The 17,691-nt window shown below is 42.9% G+C and overlaps 2 protein-coding genes across 8 annotated transcripts in view, besides 1 other annotated feature; one reads left to right on the forward strand and one right to left on the reverse strand.

Moving 5' to 3' along the window:
- OLR1 (oxidized low density lipoprotein receptor 1) overlaps nt 1-414 on the reverse strand; it is a 17,966-nt gene extending 17,552 nt beyond the window's left edge. Inside the window, exon 1 of the mRNA XM_047428907.1 lies at nt 284-414. The gene's annotated coding sequence lies outside the window, so the exon portion shown is untranslated. The remainder of the gene's footprint in view (nt 1-283) is intronic.
- Nucleotides 1-15,952, forward strand: part of TMEM52B (transmembrane protein 52B) — a 21,292-nt gene extending 5,340 nt beyond the window's left edge. For 3 of the 7 annotated variants that reach the window (NM_001384894.1, NM_001079815.2, NM_001384895.1), the window contains 5 exons: nt 3,629-3,776; nt 6,698-6,741; nt 9,478-9,516; nt 10,568-10,737; nt 14,044-15,952. In NM_001384894.1, the coding sequence (NP_001371823.1) occupies nt 3,723-3,776; nt 6,698-6,741; nt 9,478-9,516; nt 10,568-10,737; nt 14,044-14,288 (552 nt within the window). In that variant the 5' untranslated portion in view covers nt 3,629-3,722 and the 3' untranslated portion in view covers nt 14,289-15,952. Of the gene's footprint in view, nt 1-3,179; nt 3,777-6,697; nt 6,742-9,477; nt 9,517-10,567; nt 10,738-14,043 lie in introns of those variants that run through there. The other 4 variants (NM_001384896.1, NM_001384898.1, NM_001384897.1 and 1 more) reach the window with 4 other exon arrangements.
- Nucleotides 3,538-4,737: an enhancer, noted in NCBI's record as "P300/CBP strongly-dependent group 1 enhancer chr12:10331989-10333188 (GRCh37/hg19 assembly coordinates)". NCBI's record gives its function as "activates an origin of replication core promoter dependent on BRD2, BRD4, P300/CBP, MED14 and CDK7 cofactors, with strong dependence on P300/CBP, by STARR-seq in HCT116 cells {active_cell/tissue: HCT116}" and the evidence as "EXISTENCE:reporter gene assay evidence [ECO:0000049][PMID:35650434]".
- Nucleotides 15,953-17,691: the final 1,739 nt, after the last annotated feature.

Below are 17,691 nucleotides of genomic sequence, written 5' to 3' on the forward strand. Positions count from 1 at the left end.
ATCCATAGTTGGCCACCTGACTTAGGCAAGGTCAAAAGGAGAATGATCAGTGGAACCAGAAGTAAGCAATTTGTTTGGCTACACTTGTTACACCAGTTGTATAACAATTCCCTGAAGCATAGGTGTAAAACTCTATGTACATGCACCCTCTACTGGTTCCACTCCAAGTCCTTAACTACCTGGACATAAGCTAATGATTCACAAGCTTAATGGAACTGCACAAGATTGTATAGGATTGTAATGAGACCATTTCCCTCTATCCCAGCTACCTGCCCTTCTGTACCTGTCCAAAGTGTACTTCGTTCAGTCTTCTTGTCTGAATTATCTTTCTTCTTTCATCATTCCCTATATGGAGGCTTGGTTAGGGACAGGATTCAGAGTTAAAGCTGCCCCAAGGCATAATCTCATTCATTAGGATAAAAACAAACTTTTATCTTTCCAGGGACTAATCTGGTGAGAAAAAAAAAAAGGGTAGTAATAATTCTAAGAAAGGAAAGTCACAAGGAGGTCATTAACAGAACCTATTTTGTTCAAACCTGTTTGGAAGCTGGAGGGCAAAAAGATGATGGCAATTACGTGTTAGAAAAGTGCAATGCGAGCGGGGAGTCATGTTAACCAGCAAACCTGTTTAGGCAGGTGAAGGCTGGCGTGGTTGGGAGAAAAGGTGGCCAGGCTAGCAAGGAAAAATATTCAAGAATTAGAATATCAGGAGACTAAAATGTGGTCTGGAGAGGGAATGGTATAAAAATATACAAGAGAAGCATAAAGGACAGTAATTATCCAGAATCTTGAAAGTAAAGGTCACTGGTAAACTTTAGTGAAAATCAAAATAATCTTAGCAAACACAAAAAATATCAGGACTGTTATATTCATTTTACACACATTAACTTATTTAATCTGTATAAGGCTATCAAGTAAATATTACTACTATTACCCCCATTTTATATAAAATGAAAATGAGCCAATAGAGGTCTAATAACCTGCTCCAAGATCACACAGCTCATAAGTGACAAAACCAAGTATTTAAACCCAGGTATCCTGGCTAGGCTTTAGGTCTTGGTGCTCTACTGTCTTTCTGTCAAGAAAAAGAGAAGGGAAAGTTTCATGATGGGTTCCCTACGTACAGGGCACTCATGATAGAAATATCCTATTCAAAATGCTTTCCTGTCTCTTATTTTATTTTCTCTAGGAAATAACATCTAAAGCAGGTCAAGTGGGTATTCTGCTCCTGTTGTATGAATGGGAACGTTAAGGACTGGAGGAATTACATAATAATTTAGTGGAAGGCCACCTAAAGCCCTGCTCTCCTTGTCCTATAAAATACCTTCCACCTTGCCAAGTCTTCTACTGAAATCTGGAAATCACCCTTCATCCTAACCCCAGTTGCCTAATTTAAAAAAATAAAAAATAAAAGACTGTCAGTGCTCATTTCGTCTTGAAACTGACAGATTTTAAATCACCAGTATGGTACCAGGCCATTTTCTCATTATTTGTTTTCCTTAGCTGAGAACAAAACCAGTTTATATCCTGCATTCTCATATCCCATCATCAAGCTATGTGTGAGGACCCTTAGAGTATGATCAGCTCACCCAAGAGTCTCCCTTCCACAATCACTCAGCATAATTAGATTTACTGAGCTAGAAAGGTCCTGAAAGGAGGTTTTATTCAATTCTTATGAGATAGATATATCACTGTAAACTAACTTCTACTTTTCTTATCCCAGCCTGGCCAATATGGTAAAACCTTGTCTCTACTGAAAATAGAAAAGTTAGCTGGGTGTCGTGGCAGGTGTCTATAATCCCAGCTACTCAGGAGGCTGAGGCAGGAGAATTGCTTGAACCCAGGAGGCAGAGGTTGCAGTGAGCCGAGATTGCACCACTGCCCTCCAGCCTGGTGACAGAGAGACTCTGTCTCAAATAATAATAATAATAATAATAATAATAATAATAATAATAATAATAATTTTTTTATTAAACATTTGGTATTAAGTAAAAGATCACCTACTTAAGTATAAATCATTCATACAGCATTCTTTTGTTTCTTTTAATATTTTGCTTTTTTGAGGCAGATTCTCGCTCTATCACCCAGGCTGGAGTGCAGTGGTGTGATCTCGGCTCACTGCAACTTCTGCCTTCCGGGTTCAAGTGGCCCTCCTGCTTCAGCCTCCCAAGTAGTTGGGATTACAGGTGCCTGCCATGACACACAGCTAATTTTTGTATGTTTCGTAGAGAAAGGGTTTCATCATGTTCTCCAGGCTGGTCTCAAACTCCTGGCCGAAGTTATCAGCCCGCCTTGGCCTCCCAAAGTGCTGGGATTACAGGCATGAGCCATGGCACCCGGCCACATTTGTGTCTATAGCTTTGTTTCATTGTAAGTATTCTAGGCCAGGCACGGTGGCTCACGCCTGTAATCCCAGCACTTTGGGAGGCCGAGTCGGGCGGATCATGAGGTCAGGAGATCGAGACCATTCTGGTTAACATGGTGAAACCCCGTCTCGTCTCTACTAAAAATACAAAAAAACTTAGCCGGGCGTGGTGGTGGGCGCCAGTATTCCCAGCTACTCGGGAGGCTGAGGCAGGAGAATGGCATGAACCCAGGAGGCAGAGTTTGCAGTGAGCCGAGATTGCGCCACTGCACTCCAGCCTGGGTGACAGAGCAAGACTCCGTCTCAAAAAAAAAAAAAAAAAAAGTATTCTATGCTTTTGCATGTGTGCTTGTTTTTACTCTAACCTTAGGTTTTATTTTCCTGAGTGACAAGACTTATTTCTCAATCACATCACTCCTTAACCAAAGAGAGAGAGAGAGAGAGAAAGAGAGAGAAAGAAGGAACAAAGAAAAGGCAAGAAAGAAAGAAACCTATACATTTGCTTTTTTAAAATTTGGTTTTAAAAAAATGTCTTTCTCAGTTATCTATTTCAATGGGAAGTGAAGTCAGGGAGGAGGAAGATGTCACTGATAACACCTGAAAATTCTAATCTTCCGACTTGATTTCTCATCTTCAAGTCTGTTTTCTCCAAAGATGAGATGGCTTTCCTGTTCACTTGGCAACCTCTCAGTCTTACCCCAATGCTTAGGGATATAAATGACCCAGAACCAGGAGAGTTGATTATCAACATAGTGAAGGGGAGGGTTTCAAAGAGCAAGAAGGGGTTGTTAGTCACACGGAGAGAGAAGAAAGGAGATTAGCAGGGTGACTTTCACCCTGCAACAGTCACGCTGGAGTACTCTGGTGAAGGATCAAGAATATTACCAGTTTTCTGATGAAGAAAGGAATATATTTGGTCACCAGCAATCTGCCTTTGACCATCCTCAAAGCCAAGTTTTTCATCGCTGTCTAGAAAAATACTTCATTCAGAGGACACATATGTCCTCTTTGAATGTCTCCTTTTTGGGAGCAGTAGGAGAAAGAAACTTCAAGATGTAGAAAGAATTAATAGTGTAACGGAAAGAAAGAAGGCAAAAGGAAGTAAATGTGGAGGCCATAGAAATAGTAATAAGAATAAAGAAGAAAAACAGGAAAGAAGAGGGAAAAGCCATAGAAAATAACAGCCAGAGCGAGTAGGAGGAGACAGAGAGAACGAGAGAGAGAAAAGCTGATAAATTCCTGAGAAAAGTTTCTCTTCTTAAGAATTCTAGGTCAAGAAGTAAAATATGGCACAGAGCATTGAAAGGAGGCAACGGATGCCCAGTGCAAGATTCTGAAGAAGCAGGAATTCAGCCCGATGGGAGTCCGAGTTCATGTCGTGGCGGCCTCAGCCCTGCTGTATTTCATCCTGGTGAGTTCAGTGGTGAAAAGGCAGAAAGAGTATTTTTCCCCAGATTAATCAACTCTCAGAAGAGTCTGAAAGGAAATGAACTGCGGGGTGGGGAGACATATACAGAACCCAGGGGGTCATAGGGAAATGAATAAACTACAAAGTTTCCTTAGTATTACGAGATTGCATAGATGCATGTGTGACTGATGGCAATGACAATGAAAAGGGGGACAGAAATTAGAGTGAGCATGGAAACGAGCAGGATTGCCGTGGCACTTTAGAAGTGCCGCTGAAGTATTTTATCTCTTTTAGCATCTTATCACCCATCCCTCAAAATTCCAAACAAATTATGAAAACTAGGTGTGTAATTCCCCTAAACGGAATTTCCCATCCAGGAATTTCTAATCCTGTTCTAGCAGTTTAGGTGCCTCTAGTCTAGAAATAAGAGAGGCAGGGCTCTTTTAAAATATTTTGGGCCCCACAATGAATCAGAAGTCTCTGAGTAATCCATTAGTGGAGAAAAGGGTCACTGGACTGAGGGATTCTAAACAATTGTCACAGGGAAGTTTATAGAGCTATGCCATCTAGCAAGAAGGAGAGCAAATGAAGAAAACTGGATAGTCTCAGATTCCCGTATGGCCCCCGTACAGAGTGGGCTGTATGGTTTGTTTTTTTTTTTTTTTTGCTAATAGAACAGTTAAAGTGGTATCTGAAAATCCATTTTTTCTTATATTTTCTTTTTGCTTCCTCTTCACTCCCTTTGCCTTGTCTTCCCTTCATTTTTCCTTTCTTTTCTCTTTGCAACAAGCCTGAAAAGTAGCATTTTCTCTGCTGAGCACTTTAGGCTTCTCTTACCTTTAGTGAAGAAAGTGAAAGAAAGTACCATGGTTGCGTAGAGGAAACACACGCTTTTTCATCGTTAGTGGCCATTTCTTTCCAATGAAAACACAAACACGGGTTTCTCAAATGTTACCTGCAAAGGCTGGCCATTAATCCTTTTACAGATCCTTTCCAACTGATAGGTCTTGAGAATGTGTGTCTCCTTACCCCTTCACTACCCGCCATAAACTCCCAATAGTTACAAATCTGTTTCTTTTCTAGGGCCTTTGTGGTTGCTTTCCTGAAATATCAGATCACTCAGGTTATTAGAAGACAGAAGCAACTTCTAGAATTGAGTTTACTTAAATGGTTTGTTGTTGTTGTTGTTGTTGTTTTTAAACGGAGTTTTGCCCTTGTTACCCAGGCTGGAGTGCAGTGGCACGATCTTGGCTGACTGCAACCTCCGCCTCCTGGGTTCAAGCGATTCTCTTGCCTCAGCCTCCCAAGTAGCAGGGATTGCAGGCATGCACCACCACGCCTGGCTAATTTTGTATTTTTTTAGTAGAGATGGGGTTTCACCATGTTGGTCAGGCTGATCTCGAACTCCTGACCTCAAGTGATCCACCCACCTCGGCCTCCCAAAGTGGTGGGATTGCAGGTGTGAGCCACTGCACCCAGCCTTGAATGGGTTTTTGAAAGAGGAAGTCAACTAAAAAATCAGGTAGAAGAAAGAGTGGACAGTTTTGTTTGTTTTTTTGTTTTCTGTAAAGGGAGTAGAAGGGACTTCATAGCAATGTCAAGGAATTGTTAGAGCAAACTTGTCCCCAGTGCTATTAATTCATCCAACACATATCTATGATAGAGTTTGATTTGAATTCTGTCTGCATCAATAGGTGTGTACATTTGGTCACTTTTTTTTTTTTCCAAGATGGAGTCTTGCTCGCCTAGGCTGGAGTGCAGTGGCATGATCTCGGCTCACTGCAACCTCCACTGCCCGGGTTTAAGCAATTCTCCTGCCTCAACCTCCAGAGTAGCTGGGATTACAGGCGCACATCACCACGCCGGGCTAATTTTTGTATTTTTCGTAGAGACGGGATTTCACCATGTTGGCCAGGCTGGTCTCGAACTCCTGACCTCATGATCTGCCCACCTTGGCCTCCCAAAGTGCTGGGATTACAGGCGTGAGCCACCACGCCTGGCCTGGTCACATTACTTAAAACCCTGTGCCTTAGTCCCTTAACCTTTCAAGATAAGGTTAAATATACCCACCAAGAGGGTTATTGTGATTAAATGTTATGAAATATTAAGAGTTCATGGCCGGGCGCGGTGGCTCACACCTGTAATCCCAACAGCACTTTGGGAGGCGGAGGTGGGTGGGTCACTTGAGGTCAGGTGTTCGAGACTAGCCTGGCCAACATGGTGAAACCCTGTGTCTACTAAAAATACAAAAATTAACCAGGCGTGGTGGCACGTGCCTGTAGTCCCAGCTACTCGGGAGGCTGAGGCAGGAGAATTGCTTGAACCCGGGAGGTAGAGGTTGCAGTGAGCCAAGATCACGCCACTGCACTCCAGCCTGGGTGACAGAGCAAGACTCAAAAAAAAAAAAAAAAAAAACAAAAAAAAAAAACTTGTTAGCAGTCTGAGTGGCATCTAGTAGCTATTCGATAAATAAGACTCTCTGTCCCACTGGCCCCCTCGCTTTTCCCCTTCTTCCTTTGTATAGTCATTGTCACACTAACAGGATAAAAAAAGAGCAGTGGTGTAGAATTCAACTGGGCAGGAATTAGGAGGACAATGGCAATATCCCAAGGGACAGAGAGATCAGGAATTTTCTACTACAAACAAATTAATGTAAATGGCTACCTCTCATTCACAAAGGGTGATGCTCACCCACCATCAACACAACAGATGAGATATTTGTTCTTCAAGGTTCCCTTACCTCAAGTACAAAAGCCAGCAAGTATGGGAGAGATGAAAATGGCAGTCCTAAATAGACTGCCCCTATGACCGTGACCTTCTTACTGCTTGATCTAACACAGCACAACCATGAGAGATGATTGGTAAGCAGCTGAACACAGTGGCCAAAACAATTTCCCTGTATAAGACAATTTCTCTTTCTACAGCTTTCTGGGACGAGATGTGAGGAAAACTGTGGTAATCCTGAACAGTAAGTATAGAGTTCAAGCTGGGAGGAAGGAGCAACAGACCAAAACATCACTACCCCAAAAGAGAGTCAAGATGTCATTAGACATCTATGACTTCTTTTTATTTATTTTTACTTAAGTAATAGATCTCATAGATGACTTATCACAAAATAAAGACGTGTTTTTGTCATCTTAAGCACTCAAAATAACACTGCTGACAGCATGTTTTTACCCAAAGCCAATCTTCCCATCAAAGCAGCACGATTAATCTCAACTTATACAGTCATAGAGACTTGCAAAAGACTTCCTTAGCCCTGCTCCTCAGTGACTCACCAGGACAGACGGTTTAGTATCTAGTCACTGGCATATATATTTGGGTGATTTCCAAAGTAACATTATTACTTTAAATTGGGAAAGTATTTTCTAGTTTTTAGGGCATGTTAACATTTATTGGGCAGACTTCATTTAGCTATCACTTTGATGTAGTTATCAACTAATCCAAACCTGTCACACTTAAGTCTTATGTAGACACAGAGGACATGAAGATAAAAATGCAAAAGAATCATTCCACTTAAAGGAACTGTAAAATACAAATTTTAAAAAGTAGTGGCACTTTGAATAAAAACGTGTTTAGGATGAAGAAAAATACATATTTAGCCATGGGAAGGGTTTCCCAATAGCCAGGTCTGTTAAACCCAGGGAAAGGGTGATAGCCTTGATTACCTGTCACATGCAAATTGGGTGTTGACTACTTGACACCTGCTTTCTGAGGTTTTACACATCTTCCACCATAGGAAGAGTCCTTTCCTATAAACCAGAGTCTAATTAGAACTAGAAGAGTTTTCAACAAGTAAGAAATGTGGGAAAACCAAGAGGAGTCATTGTTCAGTGAAAAACAAAACAAAACTATATTTTCTATAAATGTGTGACCAGAGAATAAAAATAGATTCACTAGATTTCAGTAGATTCCTGTATCAGAAAGAATTATTAAATAACAAAATTTACTACTCTTCAAAGATACACAAATATTTTGCCTCCCCTCATTCTCCAATTCCTGAACTTATCTTCTCCTTCTCCCATACAATCCCTATTTTTTTTTCATTCTTACAGAGAAAATTTACAATTGCCATAGTGAACTCAGAACATTATTTAGCTTTCATCATGGTAAAGTTGGCTTCTACTTTTTTCCCTCTTCCTGTTTGGTCTCAGTGGATATGCAAATTAGTTTTGATCCTGGATGTGAAAAATTAGGGTACTCTTTACGGTGGGTGTGATATTGTGAGAATATATATTTGGTTTTGTCCCTATCTCCTAGCATACAACTTCTAAAATCCCCAAAGTAAGTAGCATCATTTTGCATGCTAATGAGTTGATTGGTGGCTGGCAGCCCCTAGGTAGATTTAGGATGGGGCTGGTCATTGGAAGGACCAATGCAGAATGCTTAAAGCCTCACCCCTCAACATCCAAGGAAAGTAGAGGGGCTGAAGTTTAAGTTGATCATCAATGGCCAATGATTTAATCAATCACGCCTACATAATGAGGCTTTCATGAAAATCCCAAAGGATGGATTTGAAGAGTTTCTGTAAAGCTGAACAGGCAGTGGTTTCTGAAGGGTGGTGCACTCGGAAGACCTGCAAGCTCCGTGCCCCTTCCCACATGCTTTGCTCTACGCATCTCTTCATCCGCATCCTCGGTAATATTCTTTGTAATAAACTGTAGATGTAAGTAAGTGTTTCCCGGAGTTCTGTGAGCTGCTCTAACAAATTAACGCAACCTCAAGAGGGAGTCAGGGAACCCCCAATTTATAACCAGTAGGTCAGAAGCACAGGCAAAACAAATTGTGATTGGCATCAGAATTCTGGGGAGCCGTCTAGGGGACTGAGTCCTCACCCTATGGGATCGGATCCTATCTCCAAGCAGGTGGTGTTGGCATTGAATTGAATTAGAGGACGCTCAGCTGTTGTCTGTTGCTGGAAGATTGCTTGCCTGGTGTGTGCGGAAATCCTCACCCACCCACATCTGGTGTCAGAGGGTTGGGAGAGTATAGCAGGAAGAAACTAAGTTTTTTTTTTCCTACATTCTCAGTGGGAGTGTTGCAACAGCTTGCAAAAGATAAATTACAAATGTGATTGTATGACTTTCATACTCATAACTGAAATTTTCTTTATGTTTACATTTTATTGACCTCAAATATACACAAGCCTTAAGTTTCACATCCATTTTCAAAGTTACTCTTTGTAAACTTGCATTCCAAGTTCTTTCTTAGTATTTTTTTTTTCTTTTTGAGATGGCGTCACCACGGCCGGCTAATTTTTGTATTTTTAGTAGAGATGGGGTTTCACTATGTTGGCCAGGCTGGTCTCCAACTCCTGACCTCGTGATCTGCCAGCCTTAGCCTCCCAAAGTGCTGGGATTACAGGCATGAGGCACCGCACCTGGCCCTTTCTTGGTCATTTTTATCATAAATGTTTGCAATAGGCACAGACATGTTTTCTATGGACACTTCTAATGATCACTAGTTTGTTTTATAATGATTTACAAAATGACTCAGACAATGCCATCTATAGTATAAAGTACTATTTAAAGCATATCATTTGGCAAAAGATTCAACTAGCTACAGTGAATTTTAAAAACATAACCCATGGTGCTTTATTTATAACAAGGTATCACATCATATTGTAACTCATATTTCTGAGTCTGGAGTTATAACAGGGATTGACTATATTTTTAATGTAGAAAACTTTATTCTTTCTTTATAGTTGCCTGACCACAGACTGGGTACATCTCTGGTATATATGGTAAGTTTCACTTATAATACCCAGAAAGACACTGTATTCCTCAAGGCCATTAAAAATGACAACCTGCCTACTTACTTAGCATCTCATGGAGTAAGATTTCATTACTTCATCACTACCTATGTGACAATATGTCAGGATTTCCTTTTTCAATACCATCTCCTCCGCAAACATCAAACCATTACTGTGTCCTTCCCTCGGAGTCTGTTCTAGAAATATCTCAACGAAGATTACTTTAGTGAATTAAAAAGCAGAGCCTGGCCGGGCGTGGTGGCTCACACCTGTAATCCCAACACTTTGGGAGGCTGAGGCAGGCAGATCACTTTGAGGCCAGGAGTTCGAGACCAGCCTGAGCAAAATAAAGAAACCCCCATCTCTATTAAAAATACAAAAAAAGTTGGGCGCGGTGGCTCACACCTGTAATCCTAGCACTTTGGGAGGCCGAGACAGTGGATTATCTGAGGTCAGGAGTTCAAGACCAGCCTGACCAACCTGGAGAAACTCCGTCTCTACTAAAAATACAAAATTAGCTGGGCGTGGTGGCACATGCCTGTAATCCCAGCTACTCAGGTGGTTGAGGCAGGAGAATCGATTGAACCCAGGAGGCAGAGGTTGCGGTGAGCTGAAATTGTGCCACTGCACTTCAGCCTGGGCAACAAGAGCAAAACTCTGTCTAAAAAAAAAAAAATTAGTCGAGTGTGGTGGCATGTGCCTATAGTACTGGCTACTCAGGAGGCTGAGATCGTGCCACTTCACTCCAGCCTGGGCAACAGAGCAAGACTCTGTCTCAGAAAAGAAAAAAGAAGCAGCCCCCCAAACTACCTTAAATGTCTTACTATTTGTTCTAATGAATTGACTTACTGCAGCTGACAAAATAAGGAGGTGTATCTATAAAGCAAAAGCCTTGAAATTAAAATTATAAATTAAAATATTTATAATTATTCTATAAAATGTTTAGACAAGAATCAAAACACAGACATTAAAGACTGGTTACAGCAGAGCTGGGAAAAAAGCCAGATCCCAGAGCTCCCACTCGCCCCGTGGGCTTTTGCAGGTTGCTAGTGGTAATTGGCGCGCTGCTTCTCCTGTGTGGCCTGACGTCCCTGTGCTTCCGCTGCTGCTGTCTGAGCCGCCAGCAAAATGGGGAAGATGGGGGCCCACCACCCTGTGAAGTGACCGTCATTGCTTTCGATCACGACAGCACTCTCCAGAGCACTATCACATGTGAGTACACTGAACTTTTAACCTGGGAGGAGGACCCAATTTAAGGGAATAATGAAAAGGGTGCAAAGGTGTAGAACCACTGATCGAGTAATATTAAAGATTCCAGGACTCACAATAATTTCCATTCCCAGAAGCCTGATGGTGCAGTGACCTGGGCTGTCACTGAAGCTGTGTTCTCAAGGGTCTGTCTGGCTCATGATAAAGAAAGAAGTGAAATATTGGAGGCTATTGGAAATATTGAATAGGAAGAATTAGCCAGTTTATAAATAGTTACTTTGCTAAAAACTATTTTGAACTCCAAACGGATGCCTTTTTCAAAACGTCTTGGATTTTGTGAAATCTACTTTTTCTATTATCTATACTATTTTATATTTTTAAAGAAATTAATGACATGTACTTTCAGTTCTTTATTCTTCAAGGCTTGATACACTAAATTTTAGCCTTAACATTTTCTCAATGATTATAAGACACTTTCCCTTTTCTTCTGTGGTTCTATTCTTTCCATGACGGTTTTTTTTTTTTTTTTTTTTTGAGATGGAGTCTTGTTCTGTCGCCCAGACTGGAGTGCAGTGGTGCAATCTCAGGCTCACTGCAACCTCCGCCTTCCGGGTTCAAGTAGTTCTCTCCCTTAGACTCCAGAGTAGCTGAGATTACAGGCACCTGCACCATGCCTGGCTAATTTTTGTATTTTTAGTAGACACGAGGTTTCACCATCTTGGCCAGGCTGGTCTCAAACTCCTGACCTTGTGATCCACCTGCCTCCGCCTCACAAAGGGCTGGGATTACAGGCGTGAGCCACCATGCCTGGCCAAAATGGTTACTTTCTTTTTTTGACACGGAGTCTCCCTCTGTTGCCCAGGCTGGAGTGCAGTGGTGGGAATCTCAGCTCACTGCAACCTCCGCCTCCTGGGTTGAAGAGATTCTCATGCCTCAGCCTCCTGAGTAGCTGGGATTACAAGCAGCCACCACCACACCAGGCTATATTTTTTTAAATTTTTATTTATTTATTTGTTTATTTTTATTATTGGTAGAGACAATTTACCATGTTGGCCAGGCTGGTCTCAAACTCCTGACCTCATGATTCACCTGCCTCTGTCTCCCAAAATGCTGAGATTACAAGCATAAGCCACTGTGCCTGGACTATGCTCTTTCCTAAAATTGAGGAGCAAGTACCAGTCAGAACACCAGCTGGCAAAATGTGGATATTTATTTTGAAAAGAGAGTGATGGCTGGGCGCAGTGGCTCATGCCTGTAATCCCAGAACTTTGGGAGGCTGAGGCAGGTGGCTTACTTGAAGTCAGGAGTTCGAGACCAAGCTGGTCAACATGGTGAAACCTCGTCTCTACTAAAAATACAAAAACTAGCCAGGCATGGTGGCACACACCTGCAATCCCAGCTACTTGGGAAGCTGAGGCGTGACACTCGCTTGAACCCGGGAGGCAAAGGTTGAAGTGAGCCGAGATCGTGCCACTGCACTCCAGCCTGGGTGAGCGACAGAGAAAGACCCTGTCTCAAAACAACAACAACAACAAAATAGAATGATATGATGTGTTGCTGTTCACCTTTCCTACCTCCCCTTTCTCACTGTCATCTTAGGAAAAAAGGATAACCAAGGCTGGGCACGGTGGCTCAGTCCAAGGCGGGCAGATCATCTGAGCTCAGGAGTTTGAGACCACCCTGGGCAACATGGTGAAACCCCGTCCCTATTAACGTACAAAATTTAGCTGGGCGTGGTGGCACGGGCTTGTAGTCCCAGCTACTCGGGAGGCTGAGGCACGAGAATCATTTGAGCCCAGGAGGCGGAGGTTTCAGTGAGCCGAGATGGCGCCACTTCACTCCAGCTTGGGCTACAGAGTGAGACACCATCAAAAAATAAAAAAGGAAAGAAAGAAAGAGAGAGAGGGAAGGAAGGAAGGAAGGAAGGAAGGAAGGAAGGAAGGAAGGAAGGAAAAGAAGAAAAAGAAAAAGAAAAAGAAAAAGAAAAAGAAAAAAGATAACTGGGCATGGTGGCTCATGCTTGTAATCCCAGAACTTTGGGAGGCCGAGGCAGGTGGATTATTTGAGGTCAGGAGATTGAGACCAGACTGGCCAACATGGTGAAACCCCACCTCTACTAAAAATACAAAAATTAGCCAGGCACTTTTGTTGGCCAGGCACGGTGGCTCACACCTGTAATCCCAGCACTTTGGGAGGCCGAAGCGGGTGGATCACAAGGTCAGGAGATCGAGACCATCCTGGCTAACGCAGTGAAACCCCATCTCTACTGAAAATACAAAAATTAGCTCGGCGTGGTGGCGGGCGCCTGTAGTCCCAGCTACTCAGGAGGCTGAGGCAGGAGAATGGCGAGAACCCGGGAGGCGGAGCTTGCAGTGAGCCGAGATCGCGCCACTGCACTCCAGCCTGGGCGACAGAGCGAGACTCCGTCTCAAAAAAAAAAAAAAAAAAAAAAAAAAAAAAAAAAATTAGCCAGGCACGTTGGCACATGCCTGTAATCCCAGCTACTCGGGAGGACGAGGCAGGAGAGAATTGTTTGAACCTGGGAGGTGGAGGTTGCAGCGACCCGAGATTGTGCCACTGCACTCCAACCTGGGTGACAGAGTGAGACACTGTCTAAAAAAAAAAAAAAAAAGAAAAGAGATGAGGTAAAAATAAATAATCCTAAGGAGTCTATAGTATCGGGGGCTGGGGGAAAGGGATCTAAGTCTGAAAGGGGAAAGGGCAGGGTTGAGTTGCAGGATGCAGAAACATTCTTGGCTGGGTGTGGTGGTTCACTCCTGTAATCCCAGCACTTTGGGAGGCCAAGGCGGGTGGATCACCTGAGGTCAGGAGTTCAAGACCAGCCTGGCCAACATAGTGAAACCCTGTCTCTACTAAAAATACAAAAATTACCTGGGCATGGTGGCGGGCGCCTGTAATCCCAGCTACTTGGGAGGCTGAGGCAGGAGAATCACTTGAATCCAGGAGGCGGAGGTTGCAATGAGCCAAGATCCACCATTGCACTCCAGCCTGGGCAACAAGAGCAAAACTCCGTCTCAAAAAAAAAAAAAAAAAAAGAGAGAGAGAGAGATACAGAAACATTCTTTAGATTATTTGAGGTTACCAGAGAAAACAGGTCCTTCTAGCAGAGCAGGAAGCTGGGTTGTAAACATGCTTCAAAGGATATTCATAAAATTTGGGGCAAGGAGTGACAATGAGTTTGGATACTTGTAAAAAATGAAGCGACAGTTAAGTGTGAAGTAAGTCTCTGCTGTCTGAGGGTGTCCTGTTTCCCTTAGTTTCTTAGCTCTGTTCCTTCTTTCTTCACAGCTCTGCAGTCGGTGTTTGGCCCTGCAGCTCGGAGGATCCTGGCTGTGGCTCACTCCCACAGCTCCCTGGGCCAGCTGCCCTCCTCTTTGGACACCCTCCCAGGGTATGAAGAAGCTCTTCACATGAGTCGCTTCACAGTAGCCATGTGCGGGCAGAAAGCACCTGATCTACCCCCAGTACCTGAAGAAAAGCAGCTGCCTCCAACAGAGAAGGAGTCGACTCGAATAGTTGACTCTTGGAACTGATGAGAGCTGTCATTTTATAAATAGGAGTGGAGTGATGTCCAGAGTCTGTGGGAAAATGGAACACATACTTTTCTAACCCTCAGAAGTTTTAAGATGGCATCTAACACCATCATTCTATGGGAAAGATGGTTCTTACTCTTCGTTCACAGGCCTTTATATCTTCCGATACAGAATGCTCTAATTGGGAACTCTAATTTTGTATCCAATGGCCAAAATCTGCAAGTAATCTCTAGCCACACTGATTACTACTAAACCAGGAAAGCATCAAGGTGTCTTGAATTCCTTTAACTATTGAGTGCATATAGAATTCCTGTACCCACATGATACTGCAAGTTGTGTCTCTCTCTGTCAGCGAATCCACTGCGGTTAACTGGAAAAGAAAGACAACAGTGTCAGCACAGCCATCGACATTAATGCACTGAATGCATGCATCTTTCCTCCTGAGACAGCAATCGATTTTACACCGAATGACAATGATCATCTTAGACAGCACAACATACCCACTCGGATATCTAAAAGCTAGGGATGGCATTGCTGATATGGGCAAAGAGAACACAGTATAGTATTTAAGTGCCAAATATCAGTCTTTCTTTCTCTCTGGTCCTACCCCTCAGCAGTATGAAAAACTCCATACTGTGCAGTCACAGTTGGATTAATTCTTCAGTTCCTCCGCACTGCAAACACATATATGTGCGCACATGCATGTATACCTGCACCCTGTTTTAACTCTAAAGGAATAGTGTTGCTTTACTTCTTTCCTGTTTTGCCTGGACCACTTAAAGCCACAACACCTCTATAGTGACACACGCTAGTCTCTAGTGGTGGCCCTCACTGCCACCTAGAGGAGCCATGGTGGAAAACACACTCTCTCCTTTGAGCCTATCTGCACATCTCTCGAGTTCTTGGAGCAAAAACTAAATGCTGAACTAAGCCTGGTTGAGATGCTTCCCATGGACCATGCCGCAGCACAGTGCTAATCTATCCACAAAACATACCACCTCCCAAAGTATTATTATTGGAAAATCGAGGAAGTGACGCACATTTAGGGAAAAACTACTCACCTTAGAAAAGTCACTGAAATCCTTTTTTTTTTTTTTGAGATGGAGTTTTGCTCTTGTAGCCCAGGCTGGGATGCAATGGCATGGTCTCAGCTCACTGTAACCTCCACCTCCCGGATTCAAGCAATTCTTCTGCCTCAGCTTCCCGACTAGCTGGGATTACAGCTGCCTGCCACCGTGCCCAGCTAATTTTTGTATTTTTAGTGGAGAGGGGGTTTCACCATGTTGGCCAGTCTGGTCTAGAACTCCTGACGTCAGGTGATCCGCCCACCTTGGCCTCCCAAAGTGCTGGAATTAGAGGCCTGACCCCCTGCTCCTGGCCTGAAATCTTTAAAGCCGTTTTTTCCCTAAAAAATGGGAAATAATAACACCTCAGAAGGTTTTTGTGAAGATCAAAGAAGCTAAATATATGTGGCATGATTTGTAAAGTGTTATGCATATGTATGTTATTCTTCCTACTGTCTTCTAACCTTCCCTTGCCTGCTATGACTTATCTGAGAGCCATGTTCCCATTTATCTTTTTGCCAACTATGTTACTGTTGTCACACCTGAAATGGCTTTGTTTTTATCAATAAATACTTGTTGATTGCGGTAAACAGCAACAGATATAAGTGATTCCTCGTAATATGTTCTGGGTAGAGGTAAGGAATATTTGAGAAAACTAATTGTTTATTAGGCAATTAATTAACTCCAGAACTCAAGGAGGCAACACAGAGCCAAGAATTGGCTGATTATGCAGCTCCTTGTTAACTACATTCTTGGAATGCTCACTCAGCCCGGAGGGAAAAATGTTCTGAGTATAACCTGCTGGGGATCTGAAATTATCCTGAGTCATTTAACAAATTGGCTCTGGGAATTATTGAAATGCATGAATTGCTAATAGCGCCTGAAGGGACCTTGTTTTACTGCTGCCAAATGAGTCATTTAGTCATCAAAGACACATTCCAAAAGACATTCTAGGCTCTTCTATTAAGGCACCAGGACATCACAGACTTGGCAAAGGTAAAATGTTCATTGGCATTAGAATATCTTGGGGGAAATCTTGCCTATAATGTCTTATCCTAAAGGATAAGACATAATGTCTATTCCTAAAGGAATCTCTCTTCCCCACATCCACTCCCTAGCCCCTACCACCTTATTTGAAATATAGAATCACTTCCAACCATGACATGCTACTACCCTGTCCCCTGTGTCCATCCCATAGTGTGCCTTTTCCTCATCTGCTTCACATGTGCTGCTCCTCAGTCACATGGAGTCTCTCACTCCCGTAACTCCCCCATTTGGTCACTAGTTATTTGTACCCCTTTGGCCTCAATTCTTTCTATACTGAATCTAATACATCTGTTAATCACCTCCATCACCATCATTATTGTTCTCAATTTTTTAAAATCCTTTTTAACTTTCTTCACATCTACTCTTTAAACACTGGCTCGGCTGGGCACAGTGGCTCACGCCTGTAATCCCAGCACTTTGGGAGGCCGAGGTGGGTGGATCACTTGAAGTCAGGAATTCCAGACCATCCTGGCCAACATGGTGTAACCCCGTCTCTACTAAAAATACAAAAATTAGCCGGGCGTGGTGGTGCGGGCCTGTAGTCCCAGCTACTCGGGAGGCTGAGGCAGGAGAATCGCTTGAACCTGGGAGGTGGAGGTTGCAGTGAGCTGAGATCATGCCACTGCACTCTAGCCTGGGCAATAAGAGCAAAACTCTATCTCAAAAAAAATAATAAATAAATAAATAAATACATACATAAATAAATAATTTGAGTTGTGCTTGCATTACAATCATTTAACAGGTTTTATGTGTGTTCAGCAAGTATGATTTAAGAAATTACGTACCAACTGGGCACGGCGGCTCATGCCTGCAATCCCAGCACTTTGGGAGGCCGAAGAGGGCGGATCACAAGGTCAGGAGTTCGAGACCAGCCCGACCAACATGGTGAAACCCCGTCTCTACTAAAAATACAAAAATTAGCTGGGCGTGGTGGCACGTGCCTGTAATCCCAGCTACTCAGGAGACAGAGGCAGAAGAATCGCTTGAACCAGGGAGGCGGAGGTTGCAGTGAGCCGAAATCGCACCATTGCACTCCAGCCTGGGCAACAGAGCAAGACTTTGTCTCCAAAAACAAAAAAAAAAGAAAGAAAGAAAAGAAATTTTGTACCAAGAATAGTGTAGAGCATGCAAAACAAACAGGGCCTCTGCCTCTGGGTCTTCACAGAGTTTATATCTTCACAGAGTTAAATTTTTAGGAATATTAAGAAAAACCAAGATAAAATAGTAGCAGATTTATAAATACAAAGAGCTAAACAAAGACTGAAAGGGGACAACAGATAGGAGAGGGTAGA

Source organism: Homo sapiens, chromosome 12 (assembly GCF_000001405.40).
Source record: "Homo sapiens chromosome 12, GRCh38.p14 Primary Assembly".
In the NCBI taxonomy this organism is placed as follows: domain Eukaryota; kingdom Metazoa; phylum Chordata; class Mammalia; order Primates; family Hominidae; genus Homo; species Homo sapiens.